The sequence below is a fragment of the Homo sapiens genome, chromosome X, assembly GCF_000001405.40.
Source record: "Homo sapiens chromosome X, GRCh38.p14 Primary Assembly".
In the NCBI taxonomy this organism is placed as follows: Eukaryota; Metazoa; Chordata; class Mammalia; order Primates; family Hominidae; genus Homo; species Homo sapiens.
In genome coordinates, this window is record NC_000023.11 from 155,950,600 (window position 1) to 155,966,789 (window position 16,190).

Here is a 16,190-nt window from a genome sequence, read left to right on the forward strand (position 1 = left end):
TGGGGTGTAGTTAGGTTCCAGTTAGGTTCTAGTTCAGGATTTCGGAGTTAAATTTTAGGTTCACATTCAGAGTTTGGATTGCGGTTCACATTCATGCCCAGACTTGGGCTTTGACTCCATTTCAATATTATGGCTAAGGGCTTTGGATTAGGATTTTGATTGGGGTTCAGGTTTTGCCTTTAGGTTTGAGTCAGGCTTTAATGTTTAGAGTTTGAGTAAATTATGCTTTAATTTCAGAGTTTGGATTTAGGTTATATTTCAGGTTTAGGGCTTTAGTTTGGTGTAGTTGTGGTTGGGGACAGGGTTTGGAACCCAGGTTTGGTTCTGGGTTGAAGTCAGCATTGTGGTTGGGATTCAGGTTGGTGTTTGGTTCAAAATGGGTTTTGGGATTTGGCTTTGGCTCAAGCTCAGGCTCTATTTCTAGCTTGACAGCTCAAGCTCTCACTGGTGCTGGGACTGGGATTGATGTCAAGTGTGGGTGTGGGATGTCAGGGTTGGGTTTGGGGTTGGGGGCAGGATTTGAATTGGGTTTTTTATGGTGCTCAGGCTTGAGTCCTGACTTGGCTTTGTTTTGGGGTTTAGGGATTCCAGCTTGGGTTCAGGCTTTAGAAATTTGAGTTAGGTTCTAGTTCAGGTTTGTGTATATGGGTTTAGATTGGAGGTTGAGGTTGGAGTTTTTGGTTTTAAGAATTTAGGGTTGGGTATGTGGTTGGGGTTAGGAACGGTTGGGGACAGAGTTCAAGTCAGGGTCGATTTGGGGGTTGGGGTAAGGGTTTGGACTCAGCTTGGACTCAGTTCTCAGGCTGGGGCTTGGCATGGGCTGGAGCTGGCACTTGGACTTGGCCTGTTCTTTGAATGTACTGGGGCTAAGGCTTAGCCTGAATTGGGGATAGGGTTCAGGTTGTGACTAGAGTTTTTTGTTTCTGATTATGTTTGGATTAGGGTTGGGGTTGAGGTCAAAGTTCGGGGTTGGAATTTCATCAGGAGTATTGATCAGGATTCAGATCAAGCTCTGATTCAGGCTTGGTTTGGGCATTTAAGGGTATGAGTTCTTGTTCATGTTTACAGTTTGGGTCCTGGTTCATGTCTTAGGGTTAAGGTTAATTTTAGGGTTGAAGTTCAGGTTCATATTCTGGTTGAGAGTTCACCTTTGGGTTTGAGTTGGCTTTACAGTTTAGGGTTCATGTTTGTGTTCTCCTTTGGATTTGTCTTTAGGGTTTAGATGTGAGGTCTGAGTAGTAGTCAAGTACGATTTTAAAGTTTAGGGTTGGTGTTGTGGTCAGAGTTGCTTTTGGTGTAGTGTCTAGGTTCATGCTCAGGTTTGTACCAGGGCTGAAGCTAGGGCTTGGCTTGGGGTTGGGTTAGGGTTAGGGTAGGGTTGGGGTGCTGGTTTTGACTAGAACTTGGGCTAGGATTGAGTTGGGGCTGCTTTGGATTATTGCGATTGGGTCGTGGAACCCCAGATTCAAACTCGTGTACCCAATGCACAGCTGAAGCCAAACACCGAGACACCAGTTCTTAGAGATAGAGAAAGGTTTATTAGATTTTGCCAAAGCAAGAAGGCGGGAGAGCAAGATCTGTCAAATCTGCCTTAACAAAAAGATGCAGCAAGGAGTTTTTATGCAGCTAGGGAATAAGGGAGTATTTCAGAGAACTGAAGGGCAACGTCTGTGTTTCTTCAATCTCAGATAACACCTGGAACAACCAGACTTCTGGGCATCAAAACCTGGTCCCAATGTCCTTCAAAACATTCATTCCTTTTGCCATTTTTTTTTTTTCGTGGCCCTGAAGTTATCTCCTCCTGCTTGACAAAGAAAGAATATGTCAGTAGTTTATAATTATATTGTGGAAACAAGGAATAATGGGCCAAAAATGAGTAGTTAACATGTTTAAGCAGTGGTCTGATCAGAATTTTCATTATTTCAGTCACTAAAATGCTGGGATGCTGAAATCTCAAGGGGCCTGATTACAGTTGGATTAGGGTGGCATGGAGTCAAAGTTGGGAACAGCATTGGCCTTGATATGGACTGGTGTTCTGTCTTGTTTAGGCTTGGGCTCTGACTTGGGCTTGGTTTTAGGTTCAGGTTCAAATGTTCAGGTTCAGGTTCTGACTTGTGTTCAGTGTTTGGCTTTTAGTTGGGATTTAGTATTAGGGTTAGTATTAGGATGGGCTTGGGGTTTGGCTTGTTTGTCAGGTCAATGTTAGAATTGGGGTTCTAGGGCTAAGTTTTAGGGTTTAGGGGTTCAAGTACATGTTCTGGTTTGCCCACATGTAAGTATAGTGTTCTGGGATTTTGGTGGGGTTCAGCTTTGGGTTTGATTGGGGTTTGTGGTTGGGCTTGAACTTGGACTCTCACTTGTGCTCAGTTTCAATGTATAGGGGGGTTCGTGTGCTGGTTCAGTTTTAGTGTTGTGTTTCAAAGACCAGAGCCAAGATCACAATGGTAGAAGGCAGATTTAACCCAGAGGAGAGCAGACCCCAGAGTGCAGGGGGCGGGGTCCTGAGCTTAAAGGGTGGCATCGCCCTGGAGTTAGAGGAAACAGCCTGGCCCCAAATGGTGAAGCTGTGGAAACAAAAGGCTGAGCCACATGAGCATAGGCAGAGGCCTGAGCTTCAGGCCCAGGGTGAGCAGTCTCATCCTTAGATGGAGGAGCAGTGGGTGCAGCTGGGAACAAAAGAATGAGCCATGCCCCCAGAGGGCAGAACCGCAGGCCCAGATGTCAGTTTCATGGTTAAGGGTTTAGGTTTGGGTTAGAGTTTGGGATTAGTGTTTATGGTTAAAATTAGAGGTACAGTAATGGTTGTAATTGGAGTTAGGTTTGGGTTTGGCTTTGACTTTGGGGCTTGGTATGGTTCAGGTTTATGCCTGGGTTGGGCTCCTGATTTAAGCTTGGTTTTAAAGTTTAGAAGTTTGGACTAAGGTTTTATTCAGCTTCAATGTTTGGCTTCAGGTTTCAGCTTGGGTTTAGAGTTTAGGTTTTGGGTCAGGTTACATTCGGTTTAAAGTTTGAGTTTGTGTTCAATTCTGGTTAAGGATTTTGGATTGGTGTAGGGGTCAGGGTTCAGGTCATGATCTGTTTGGAATTCAGAGTTTGGATTTGGGTTCAAGTTTGGGATCGAGGTTTATGGTAAGGGTTAGGGTTGGAATTGGAGTTGGGGTTTGATTCAGATTTGGATTGCAGTTTATGATGTCCTGGCCTGTGCATAGGCTCTGAATGAAGCTTGACTTTAGAGTTTAGGGGGTTGAATTAGGGTTTTGGTTCATGTTCATAGTTCACCTTCTGGTTCAACTTCAGGTTGGTATTGATGTTATGGATGGGATCAGGTTTGATGTCAGTGTCTGATTGGAATCTGGTTGGGGTTTGGGATTAGACTCTTGACTTGGGCTGGATTTTAGGGTATAGGACTTTGGCCTCAATTTGGGTTAGGGTTTAGTGTTTAGGACTAGGGTTCAGATGTGGATAGGATTTGTGGTTTTGTATTGAGGTCACGGTTATGATTGACAAACAGGTCACATAAAGAGTTTAGGATTGTGGTTGGGACTTGGGCTTAGGCTCAGGATAGGGTTAATAGGTTTCAGTTGGATCCTAGTTTACATTTGGATTAAGTGTCAAGATTTCTGGATTTGGGTTCAAGTGTGGGGATGGTTTTGTAACAGTGAAACAGCAAAAAAACTAACATAACTAATTCTATTTTTGTTTAAGGGACATTTACCCATTCCTGCACATAGGCTAGGATAATTTTAGAGCACTGAGATAATATGGAAAAACAGCAATCACGTAGCTTTTAAAACTAACTCTGAGATTAAAGAAAAAAGCATGTAAACAACTAACTGTGTTTTGTTAAAAGACTTATAGGAGCATTGTGACCTGACCAAGGACAAAGAATTTCCCAACCTCCTCGGGCCCTCACTGGCGCCCAGATGTCTGAAGTTGTTGGTCACTTCTAGATCCCAACTCCTTCCTCTACCTCTTGCCTTTAACATTAAAAGAACCTAAAATTTATAGTGACTTAAGATGATACTTTAGGATGCTAGCATGTCATTTTCTAGGTTTGCTGGCTTTCTTAATAAACCTGCTTTTCCTCTCACCTCCTGTCTCTTGAGTTTTGTCTTTCAAGTAGCAAGCAGCTGAACCTGGGTTCAGTTACAATTTCAGGATACAGGCTCAATTCTGGTTTAGGACTTACGGTGGGTGTTACCACTAGGGTTAGGGTGAAATTGATGTTGAGTTTCACTTTGGGATAATATTGAGTTTTGATTATGGTTTCAGATTTAGGCACTCAAGTTGAACTGGGGAAAATTGAGTTAGGGTTAGAGTCAGAAGTCTAGGTCAGGTTAAAGGTCAGGATCAAAGTTAGGGGTCAGAGATTGGGTCAGGGTCAGGGTCTGGGTTATAAATATGGGTTGGGGTTGGTGTCTGGATCTGGGTTGGGTAGGGGTTGGGGTCAGGGTCAGGGTTGGATCAGGGTCAGTGTCAGCATAGGGTTAAGTTTAGGGGTTAGGGTTAGGTTTTGGATCAGTGTTGGGGTCAGGGTCGTTATCACATTTTCCTCATTAGTTTAGCTTTATAATAAGTGTTAGGGTACAGATGTGTGAGTTTCTTAAGTTTGTGTTTATTCAGTGTTGTCTATTATAGGTTTAGAAACAGTTTGCTGGGAATTTAATTGAGATTGCACTGAATATATAGATCAACTTTGAAGGAATTTTTATCTTAACTATGTCTAGTCTACCAATGGTGAATAAGGAATATCTCTGCATTTATTTACGTTTTGTTTCTTTTAACTGTGTTTCTAGTTTTTATGAATGCATATGTGTACCTTTTTAAAAAATTTATACTTAAGAACTTTAATTTTGAGGCCTGCTGTTGTAAATGATATTGATTTTTTTAAATACTGTATTCCAGCTTTCAAATTCCAGTTTTATCCATACATAATTGCTGATACGTAGGACATCAATTGACTTTTGTCCGTTGACCATCTACTTTGCTTTTTATCTCTATCCATTTTGGTCAAGGCAAGGGATGGTAGGCTCTCTTTCAGTTTTAATTTCCAAAATCATGGCATGGAATTATCAGAACAATGGATTTTCAGAGATTCACGGGGACCGCAGACCGCAGCCTATGGGCACCACTAAATCGTGAGCGCCTGAGCATCCTGTACTGCCCCCAACGGCCTGTAGGGGCATGCAAACCCACCTTTTTGGACCCTCATGAGGCCCCCATGTTCTCTGCGTAGACATCCGGCACCTCCACAGTGAGGACCAAGCTTTGTTCTCAGGTTTCACCCAGGAGGTGCTGCTGTGGCTACAGGACAGCTGGGGGCCATGCCCAGGGAGGACCCAAATCTCCTTCTCCTCAGGACCCACCTGGGAGACCCTCTGTGGCTAAGGAACACCTGGGGGTCGTGCCCAGGGAGGACCCAAGCCTCCTTCTGCTCAGGAGGGACCTGGGGAAGCACCCTGGCTTCAGGACACCTGAAGGTGAGGAATAAGGTTCCTGTCCATGCCCTGAGTGCAGAGGAGGGAACGCTGCCATATGTTTTACTTTCCTCATGTTGTTAGGGATCCTTGGGGTGTTACTTTTCTGGCCGGAAACCTTTGTGGCTAGTGGAGCCTTTGCTGCAGTTTTACCCTGGCCCGCTGGACTCGTTCTACCCACTTGGCCTGGTAGGCTGCACTCAGCTCATGCTACTGGCCTGGAGCCCATGCCTGCCAAGGGCGAGTCAGGCGTGGAGTGGTGAGGGGTGTCTGAGCGATTGTAGGGTCTGGCCACTGCACAGCAGGCAGCTCAGGGTGCCGGCATGGGTGCTGGCTCTCTGCAAGGCTGTAGCTGGACTCTCTTTTCGGACTCAGCCCACCTGCACCCAGGTGAAATAAACAGCCTTGGTGCTCACACAAAGCCTGTTTGGTGGTCTCTTCACGCTGACGCGCGTGACACCAATGATGACCTTAAGTGATTTTTAATTAACTTCAGCTTAATAGGCCATCATTTTCAGGACCCAACTGTTAAAAGACAAAATTACAGCACATCTAGGTTTGCAGATCTTAATTGGCTTTTGTTTGAGATTCTAGAATCAGGCAGCAGTCCGGACCAAAAATGGTCCAGAATGCTCTGCCACATGACATCTGCAGGTTATGTTTATAACCACAGAAAAGAAAGTGACATACAGAAAACAAGTGAAATACAGAGACAGCTCCATTGGTTACAGCCTGGATTTGCCTTTATGGAACCTAGTTTGAACAGTTGGCCGCCTGCCATTGGCTGACACTTGGCAGCTGTGATTGGTTTAGCCTCAGCTATTTGTTATAAAGACAGATTTCTAAGTCAGATTTTCAGTTTGTTTATATACTAACTTAGGTTGTAGTTCTTTACAAGGACTCGTTGGGAGGCTTCTAAAGCCCAAATTTAGTTTAACAACTCCCTCCTTTTGGTCAGCCTTTTAATTTTGAGAAATTGACCAAAACTTTTGGGCATTGTCACCATGACTCCACTCTCTGTCATCATTATAAATGGGCTTATTTGGTCTCAGTATGGAATTCAGAAGTTCTTATTTGGTCTCAGTTCCCACTGGGCAATAGCAGAACAGTGAGTTTTGTAAGATGGAAACAAGGAAACAGAACAATGGAAAATAACAGCTGATTGGTTATGTAAACCAAAAATAAGATTCTAAGGCCCCCAACCACCTGAATGGACTCCTCTCAGCCAAGGGGATTGCAGAGTTAACCTGAAAATCTAGTTCAGACCATTGTGGAAGAGGGGGTTGGACATGCCTCATTACACCCCTCCAGCATTAACATCAACACAGACCTTAGGTCTGATAAGAAACGTTTATAATCTTTTTTTCTCTGAAGCCTGCTACTTGGAGGCTTCATCTGCATAATAAAACCTAGGTCTCCATAACCCCTTATCCACCCAGACATTCCTTTCTACTGATAATAACTCTTTCAACTAATTCCCAATCAGAAAATTTTTAAATCTATCTATGACCTGGAAGCCCCCACCCCGAGTTGTTCCACCTTTCCAGATCAAACCAGTGTAAATCTTACATGTGTTGATTGATGTATTATGTCTCCCTAAAATGTATAAAGCAAGCTGTACCCTTACCAACTTGGGTAAATGTCATCGGGACCCCCTGAGGCTGTGTCACGGGTGTGTCCTTAATCTTGACAAAATAAACTTTCTAAATTCACTGAGACCTGTCTCAGATATTTTGGGTTCAGTTAATATCAGGTCCCTTTTTGGGTAAGGGTTAAAGCAGAGGGGATTTCCTTATGCTGACTCAGGTAGACGGGAATCCTTTCTTTTTCAGGAAACACTGGTCTGTTTTGGGATTTATCTGCTTCCTTAACACTTCAGTTTGGTTGTGTGGCATTTGGCGTCAGTTATTCCATCCTGGTTTGGCCTGGTCTGTTGTGGCCTAGTGCAGGAGCCCAGTTAATAACTCTCCCCTTTTGGTCAGGTTCTCACCTAGGTGACCAAAACATAGGGCATTAGTAGTACTCTCAGTCACCATCATTTTGGGTTTCTGGTCTCAATGTAACGCCAAAGGTTCTTGCCTTAGCCACACCAAAGAATTGATGTGGCGGCAGCCGCGGTGAGAGAGAGACACGGATCAGACTGAGAGAAAAAAGCTGTAGGCTTTATTGAGCAGAGTGGCAGTACAAAGCTTCCACAGCGTGAAGGGTCCTGGGCCGGTAGCCAGTGTTAGATTTTTTGATCACCCCTTTAAACCCTTTAAGGCGGGAAATACGTGCGGCGGGAAGATGTTACCAGAGCGAGAAACAAAGACAATTAACATGTATCAGATCTGAGGAAACCGGAATTGTAACTTAAGGTTATCTACTTTATGACCTTGCAGCGGCATGGCAAAGGAGACAGGATCTCACAGGATTTTACAAACTGTGTTTACAAGGAATCGGAATTGGGAGCATAGATAAGGTTTGCTGGTCACAGAAAAACGGGCTTTTAACATTCCTTTCAGTTTCAGGGGAGGGGGAAGGGAGAGAGGGAGCGAGGACACAGGGAAGCTTACAGCAAAAGTTTCGCTGTTTATAGCTTTCTTGGGGAAGAAAACACATGCACAAATTCTGATGTTAGGAATATTTTAAGCATATATCTTCAATATTATTCATCCAGGACCAAAGTAAGTCCTGTTGCAGAAAATGAGTTTCATAGCTTTCTGAGCCCCTGCTAGACCCAGGAAGCCCAGCTGGCACCTCCTCTCATCAACACATCGTTTCAGTAAAGTCAAGAAAACTTTATTCCATTATTGTTACCAGTGGCAGGTATCCAAGTTACCCTGAGTTACTAACAGTGAATCCATATGTGTCTGCAGCAACTTCAGTTCTTGCCTCCTTAGGAGAAAGAATTCGACTGAGGGACATAAAGTGGAAGAAGAGACCAAGGCGAGTTTTAGAAGAAGAGTGTAAGTTTATTTTAAAAAGGCTTATAGAACAGGAAAGGAAGGAAAATTCGCTTTGAAAGAGACCCAAGTAGGCATCTGAAGGTCAAAGACAGCATTTAACTTTGATCCTAGGACTTTATAGGCTCACCTCTTTCCCATGATTTTTCCCTTAGGGTGGGCTGCCCGCATGCACAGTGCCCTCCTTACCCTTGGGAACTGAGCACTTGCCGTCTTTTTAGGAAGCTTGTACGCGTGCCCATCTGAGGCTTTCCTCTCTTTTCTGGTGGAGTGTCCCCAGAAGGTCATACTTCACCATTTTGTCTCTTAAGCACATGCCCAGGAAGTTTCTTCTCCCTGTCATTTGCATTCAATTAACACTTCAATGTTAACAGCTGTGGATCATCAGGAGATTCTCTCTCCCTGGTGCCCTGGTGCTGGCTGCCAAATTAAAAAACCTGCTTGTAACAGAAGTTGAATGGAGCTCATATCTACAGATATTTAGGTCTGAGTCTTCTGGGCAGCTGTCCTCATCTTAGCTCAAGTAAACTGTAAAATTCTATTTTGTGCCTCAGCTTCTTCCTTTAGGTCAACAATATGAACATACTTCAATATGGTACATTTGTTCCTGATGAGCTACTTCTGTTGTACAATCAAATGTAAGGAAGTGTCAATGAAAACAGTCAAACTCTGTAAAACATTTGAAGAGATTTATTCTGAGCCAAATATGAGTGACTATGGTTAGGACACAGCCCTTAGGAGGTCCTGAGAACATGTACCAAGGTGGTCAGGGTACGCCTTGTTATTATACATTTTAGGGAGACATGGCACTTCAATCACATACATTTAAGAAATACATTGGCTTGATCTATAAAGCTGGGACAACTCGAAATGGGGGGCTTCCAGCTTACAGGTAGATTTAAAATTTTTCTGGTTGACCATTGGTTGAATTTATCTAGAGACCTGGGATCAATAGAAAGGAATGTCTGGGTTAAGATAAAGGATTTTAGAGACCCAAGTTCTTATTTGCAGAGGAAGTCTTCAGGCAGTAGGCTTCACAGAGAATACGTTTTAAAATGTTTCTTATCATACTTAAAGTCTGTGTTGATGTTAATTCCAAAGAGGTATAATGAGGCATGTCTGACCCTCACTTCCCGTCTTGGCCTGAAACAGTCTCTCAGATTAAATTTTAGAGAGCCTTGGCTGAGGAGGAAGTCCATTTAGAAGGTTGGGAGCCTTAGAATTTTATTTTTGGTTTACAGAAGTGTATTTTGCTTTTGATATTATTAACTGTATTTCAAGTCTAACATGTTTTCCTAGGAGCATTAAATACTCTGTGGATTTTATTACACAAATAAGGCACAGATCCCATTTTATCATTACCTTCATTATTACCTATATTGACATAATTTCAACTGAATTTGGAAACATTCCAGAGTCTGGGCTTCCAATAATCCTTTGTGATCCTCTAAAAGGTATATTACATTTTTCCTCAAGACATAGCAATATCTAAAATCACTCATAGAATGTCCTGCCACTTTTGTTTATCTAATTTCATCAATTTCTCTAAAATTGACTTTGAATATCCCTTTAAACTCTTCTGTTTTAGAAAGCATCACAAGGAGACACCGAATGATCGTGGTCACAAAATCTGTTCATATTCTTCCTTTCTCTGAATATTTTTTGCAGTGACAAATATTTGTTTCTGTTGTATTACTGTTAAAAGGAATGCTTGGAAACAAAGACAAAGATTCATTACAATAAGTGATCCAGTCACAATAAATCAATTTGTCATTTGGACCTTTTTTTTTTTTCTGAGATGGAGTCTTGCTCTGTCACCCAGGCTCGAGTGCAGTGGCGCGATCTCGGCTGACTGCAACCTCCGCCTCTTGGGTTCAAGCAATTCTGCCTCAGCCTCCTGAGTAACTGGGATTACAGGTGCCTGCCACCACACCCAGCTAATTTTTGTATTTTTAGTAGAGACCAGGTTTCACCATGTTGGCCAGGCTGGTCTCAAACTCCTGACCTCGTGATCCACCTGCCTTGGCATCCCAAAGTGCTGGGATTACAGGTGTGAGCCACCGTGCCTGGCCCTTTTTTATTTTTTAAAGTTGTACTTTTGAAAATGTTCAGCAATGAATTGAAATAGTCTCTAAAATGTGATTTTTTCCCTGGTCTAAGGTGACCAGATTTCTAGAGAGTGAACCCAGGACAGAACCACACCACAAGTAAAAAATATGATTAATAAGTTTACACGAGTATGTTATTTTAACATAAAACATGCAAAAGAGGCACTTATTTGGAATTATTTATTAGTCTGCATTATATACTTCACAGCATCATGAATGTTCTTATTTTTTAAATGTAGGACTAGTTAGTGTCAATTACTACTATTAGTACAAATAATTAACAAACTATAGAAATAATCCCTGAAAGTATAGTCTTAATTATTAGTACAAATAAATAAGCAGATGTTTGAAAAAAATTACGTTTTGAATAAAGTTATTATTTTAAATTAGTTTTAGATTCACACAGAAATTAGAAAGAAGAATGCAGATTTCCCCTGTAGCTGCAACCTAGTTTTCCCTCTTATTAACATATTAGTATGTATCAGATGTCTTCTTAACATCTTACATCATTTGTTACCATTAATGACCAGATATTAATATGTTATTACTAAATAAGCCCACGTTTTATTTGGTTTCCCTCAGTTCTATCTTTTTCTATTCTGGGATCCCATCTCAGATCCTACAGGACATTTAGTTGTCATGTCAGGCTCTTCTTGCCTATGATTGTTTCTCAGACTTTCCTTCTGATAGCCTTGACAGTGTAAGAAAGACTGGTCAGGTATTGTGTAGAAAATATCTCATTGTGGTTTACTTGGTATTTTTCTCATAATTATACTGGGGTTACGGGTTTGGGGGAAGCAGATCAGATGTGTAGTGCTATTCTAGTCTCTTCATGCTCTCAAGATGCATTATCACCATTAATGTTAATTTTGATCACCTGGCTGAGGTAGTGTTTTTAGGTTTCTCACTGTGAAGTTACTTTTTCCCCATGTCCATACTGTATGTATTCTTTTGGAGGAAATAAGCATGCAGAGCCCACACTTAAGGAGTAGGGAGTTAGCTCTACTTCCTTGATGGCTGAGTATCTACATTAGGTATTTGGAATTCTTCTGTATAAGATATTTCTATTTGGCCAATTTGCATATTTATTTAATCATTTATTTAGACCAGTATGGACAACCAGACAGTTACTTCAATCTTTTGGTTATTATCCAATTGTACAGTATTTTGTTGCTTTGATTTCCTACCTGTGGCCATTGGGAGATCTTTCTATTGGCTCCTGTTTTCCTTTGACATAACTGCATGTTTTGTTTTGTTTTGTTTTAACAATTTCTTTCTGACACTTCAAGAGTATCCTGGCTCATATATTTACTGTCTCAGCCCTAGTTTAGCTATTTCTTCCAAGAGCACTGATTTCCCTTATTAGAGAATGGTTTTAAAAACTTATATCTGGCAGCTAAATATGCTCATTGCATCTTGTCCCTCACAGCTGACAATGCAAGGAAATATATATGTGTGTGTTCTAACCTACATATACATGCCTAATTATAAAGATTTCTATGTGGATCCATCTGTGTATATATTAAGCTACATGTGAGTTTATACTGATATCTCCAATCAATGGACTCTGATCCATTATCACAAGAATTATTCTAGCCTCCCCTGCCTTTCTTGTCTGTAAATTCTCACTCTGACAGCAAGGAATTAGCTTCTACCATCTGCCATTTATTTAATCCCTTGTTCCAGTATAAACACCGAATTTATTGTTGTTGATTCAAATTATAAGTTGTGATTTAATAATAAATATATGTTTGGTCTCTGTCTCTATTTCCTGGTACAGAGCTCCCAAAACCCTTACAATTTCTTGAGTGATAGGGGTGCTAGGAGCATTTTTTGTTCTCATATTTGGTCTTTGACCCTGGTTTCTGACACAGAGTTTCCAAATGCCTTAAAAATCTCTCAGGTAATAGGAATGTCTTTTGCTCTGCTCCTGGATGGCTTCAGGATGGGGCGTGGTCACCAGAAATACCAAGCCATGATTAGAAGCTTGTAACTTTCAGCTTCATATCCTATCCTCTGAGGGGAAAGGGGGCTGGAGATTGAGTTAATAATCAATCATGCCTATGTGATAAAGCCTCCATAAAAATCCCTGAAAGAGGTGGGAGGATCACTTCAGGCCAGGAATTTGAGGCCTGCCTAGGCAACACAGTGAGACTCCATCTCTACAGAAAATAAGAGAGTTGGGTGTGGTAGTGTGTGCACGTAGTCCTAGCTACTTGGGAAACTAAGGCAGAAGGATTGCTTGAGGGCGGGAGTTCAAGGTTGCAGTAAGCTATAATTGTACCCCTGCACTCCAGGCTTGGGATAGAGCGAGACTTTGTCTCTTAAAAAATCCTAAAAGATAGGGTTTAAAGAGTTTCTAAATTGTTAAATACATCCATGTGCAGGGAGCATGGCAAACCCCAACTCCATGAGGACAGAGCTTCCGCACTTCCAAACTTTGCTTTGTGTACCCCCTTATCTGGCTGTTCATGTGTTTTCTTTACCATGTCCTTTATAATGAACTGGGGTCTTAGTCCTTTCAGGTTGCTATAAAAAAATACCATAGACTGGGTAACTTTTAAACAACATAAATTTGTTGCATATAATTCTGGAGCCTGGAAAGTCCAAGATCAAGGCACTGGAAGATTCCATGTCTGGTGAGGGCTCGTCTCTCAGAGATAGTACCTTCTAGCCATGTCCTCACATGGCAGAATAGAGAAACAGGCTCCCTACAGACTCTTTTATAAGGGCACTTGTGCCATTCATGAGGGCAGAGCCTTGATTATTGGGGAAATCTGTCCCCAGTATTTCAGTGTAGGTTCTTTCTGTCTTTCATAAGTGTCGGCCGGCTGAGAAATAAAGACAGACAGTACAAAGAGAGGAATTTTACAGCTGGGCTGCCGGGGGTGACATCACATATCAGTAGGACCATGATGTCCACCTAAGTCTCAGACCAGCAAGTTTTTATTAAGGGTTTCAGAAAGGGAGGGAGTGTAAGAACAGGGAGTAGGTACAAAGATCACATGCTTCAAAAGGCAAAAAGCAGTGCTGCTAGTAAGGGTCTAACAAAGATCACATGCTTCTGAGGGAACAGGACAAAGGGCAAAAGCAGAACTACTAATAAGGGTCTATGTTCAGCAGTGCACATATTGTCTTGATAAACATCTTAAATAACAGAAAACAGGGTTCAAGAGCAGAGAACCGGTCTGACCACAAATTTACCAGGGTGAAGTTTCTCCCCACCCTAGTAAGCCTGAGGGTACTGCAGGAAACCAGGGTGTATCTCAGTCCTTATCTCAACTGCATAAGACATACATTCCCAGAGCGGCCATTTATAGACCTCCCCCCAGGAATGCATTCCTTTCCCAGGGTATTGATATTAATATTCCTTGCTAGGAAAAGAATTTAGTGGTATCTCTCCTACTTGACGCGTCCATTTATAGGCTCTCTGCAAGAAGAAAAATATGGCTCTTTTTGCCTGACCCTGCAGGCAGTCAGACCTTATGGTTGTCTTCCCTTGTTCCCTAAAAATCGCTGTTATTCTGTTCTTTTTCAAGGTGCACTGATTTCATATCATTAAAACACACATGTTTTACAATCAATTTATACAGTCAACACAATTATCACAGTGGTCCTGAGGTGACATACATCCTCAGCTTATGAAGATAACAGGATTAAGAGATTAAAGTAAAGACAGGCATAAGAAATTATAAAAGCATTATTTGGGAACTGATAAATGTCCATGAAATCTTCACAATTTATGTTCCTCTGCCACAGCTCCAGCCAGTCCCTCTGTTTGGGGTCTCTGACTTCCCACAACACTTGACAATGAATTACCTGTTTAAACCATCCTCTTGGAGGTTAGGTTTCAACATATGAATTTTGGGGGGACACCAACATTGAGATCATATTAACCAGTAAACATAAGTAAATGTTTCCCTGAGTTCTATGAGCCATCATAGCAAATTATCAATCCTGAGGAGGAGGTGTGGGACTGTTCAATTTGCAGCTAAGTCATACAGAAGTATGAGTAAACTGGGGATTTACTAGTTGTGATTGGCATCTGAAGTGGGGGGGGCAGTCTGGTGTTACTGAGCCCTTAAACTATTAGGTATGTAATAACTCCAGTTAGTTCATGTCATAATTGAACTATATAACACCCAGCTGGTGTCCAGAAAGTTGGAGAATTGGTTGATATGGGAAAATCCCTCATATATTTGGTGTCAGAAGTGAAGTATTGAGAGTATAGATGAAAAACAGGTTTTTTTTTCTTTTTACAGATATACTGGTTTCAAAATTGACTATTACCCCTGGGGGAGAGAACTTTATAAAATAGAGACCACTATTTATATTCAGTATATTCTGCTTTTAGACTATAGATTCTACTCATTTCCAAAGTGACTTAGGTTAGCACTTTCTGCCCATCACCTGCAGTGAGTTTTTCCATAAATTTGTAATACAGTTAGATTCCTGATCCCATTCTATATTTTATCCTTGGATACTACTGCACCCTAAATGTTTGATTTAATTTGTATAGCTTGTGATTTATTCTTTGGGCTGTAAAACTATATCAGTTTTATAAAATGCATAGTGTCAGGTATCCACCATTGAAGTACCTTCAAATACCCACCCTATGTAACCACTGATTCGTTTATCTCTGTAATTTTGCCTTTCCCAAAATATGATATAAAATGGGGTGAAATGGTGGGTAGCCTCTTCAGACTGGCTTCCTTCACTTAGCAGTATACATGCAAGATTTACCCATGTCTTCGCATGCGTAGATAGTTTATTCCTTTCTATTTATGAATGGTACTCCATTGCATAGATGCACCCCAATTTGATCATGCATTCAGCTATTGAAGGAAATTCTGATTACATTTTGACCATTATGAATAGAACTGCTGTACATAATTACATGCTGGTATATGTTTGAACATAACTTTTCAAAGCAGTTGTCTAAATACAGGCAATTTAGGAGTGCAATTGTCAGATTATAAGGTGAGAGTTGTTCAGCTTTGGAAAAAAAAACGCGAAAGTGTCTTCTGAAGTGACTGTACCATTATGCGTTCTACCAGCCAATGAATGACAGCTCCTATTGTTCTTCAGCCTCCAGCAAGTGGTTTATCAGGGCTCTTTTAGAGTTCAGCAGTTCTAAAGGGTGTGCAGCTATCTCATTGTTGTTTTAATTTACAATTTCCTAATGATATGTTGAGCACCCTTTTGTATGATTATTTGCTATCTTTATATTTTATTTGGTCAGGTGTCCATTTAGCTATTTACTCATTTTAATTGGGTTTTTAGTTATCTTATTGCTTCTTTTTAAGAGTTCTTTTTGTGTTATCATTATTTTTAGAGACAGTGTCTTGTTATATTGCTCGGACTGGTCTCAAACTACTAGCTTCAAGCCATCCTCTTGCCTCAGCCTCCCAAGTAACTGGGATTGCAGGCATGAGCCACCCCACCCAACATCTTTTTATATTTTTAATACAATTGTTTTTACCAGATATGTATTTTGTAAATACTTTCTCCCAGTCTGTGTCTTGTCTTTGTTCTCTGAATAGGCTCTTTCTCAGAGTTGAAAATTTAGTTTTATAAAGTCTGTGTTATCAGTATTTTTTCTTTTGTGATGTGGCTTTTGGTATTATGTGTTAAACCTCAGCACCAAATCCAAGGTTGCA

The 16,190-nt window shown here is 41.3% G+C and overlaps 1 pseudogene, besides 1 other annotated feature; it reads right to left on the minus strand.

Moving 5' to 3' along the window:
• Window positions 8,558–9,076: an enhancer, noted in NCBI's record as "NANOG hESC enhancer chrY:59291828-59292346 (GRCh37/hg19 assembly coordinates)". NCBI's record gives its function as "activates a minimal SCP1, AML or CMV promoter by ChIP-STARR-seq in primed H9 embryonic stem cells {active_cell/tissue: H9 hESC(primed)}" and the evidence as "EXISTENCE:reporter gene assay evidence [ECO:0000049][PMID:30033119]".
• On the minus strand, window positions 10,771–10,846 carry LOC124905299 (uncharacterized; annotated as a pseudogene).
• Window positions 10,847–16,190: the final 5,344 nt, after the last annotated feature.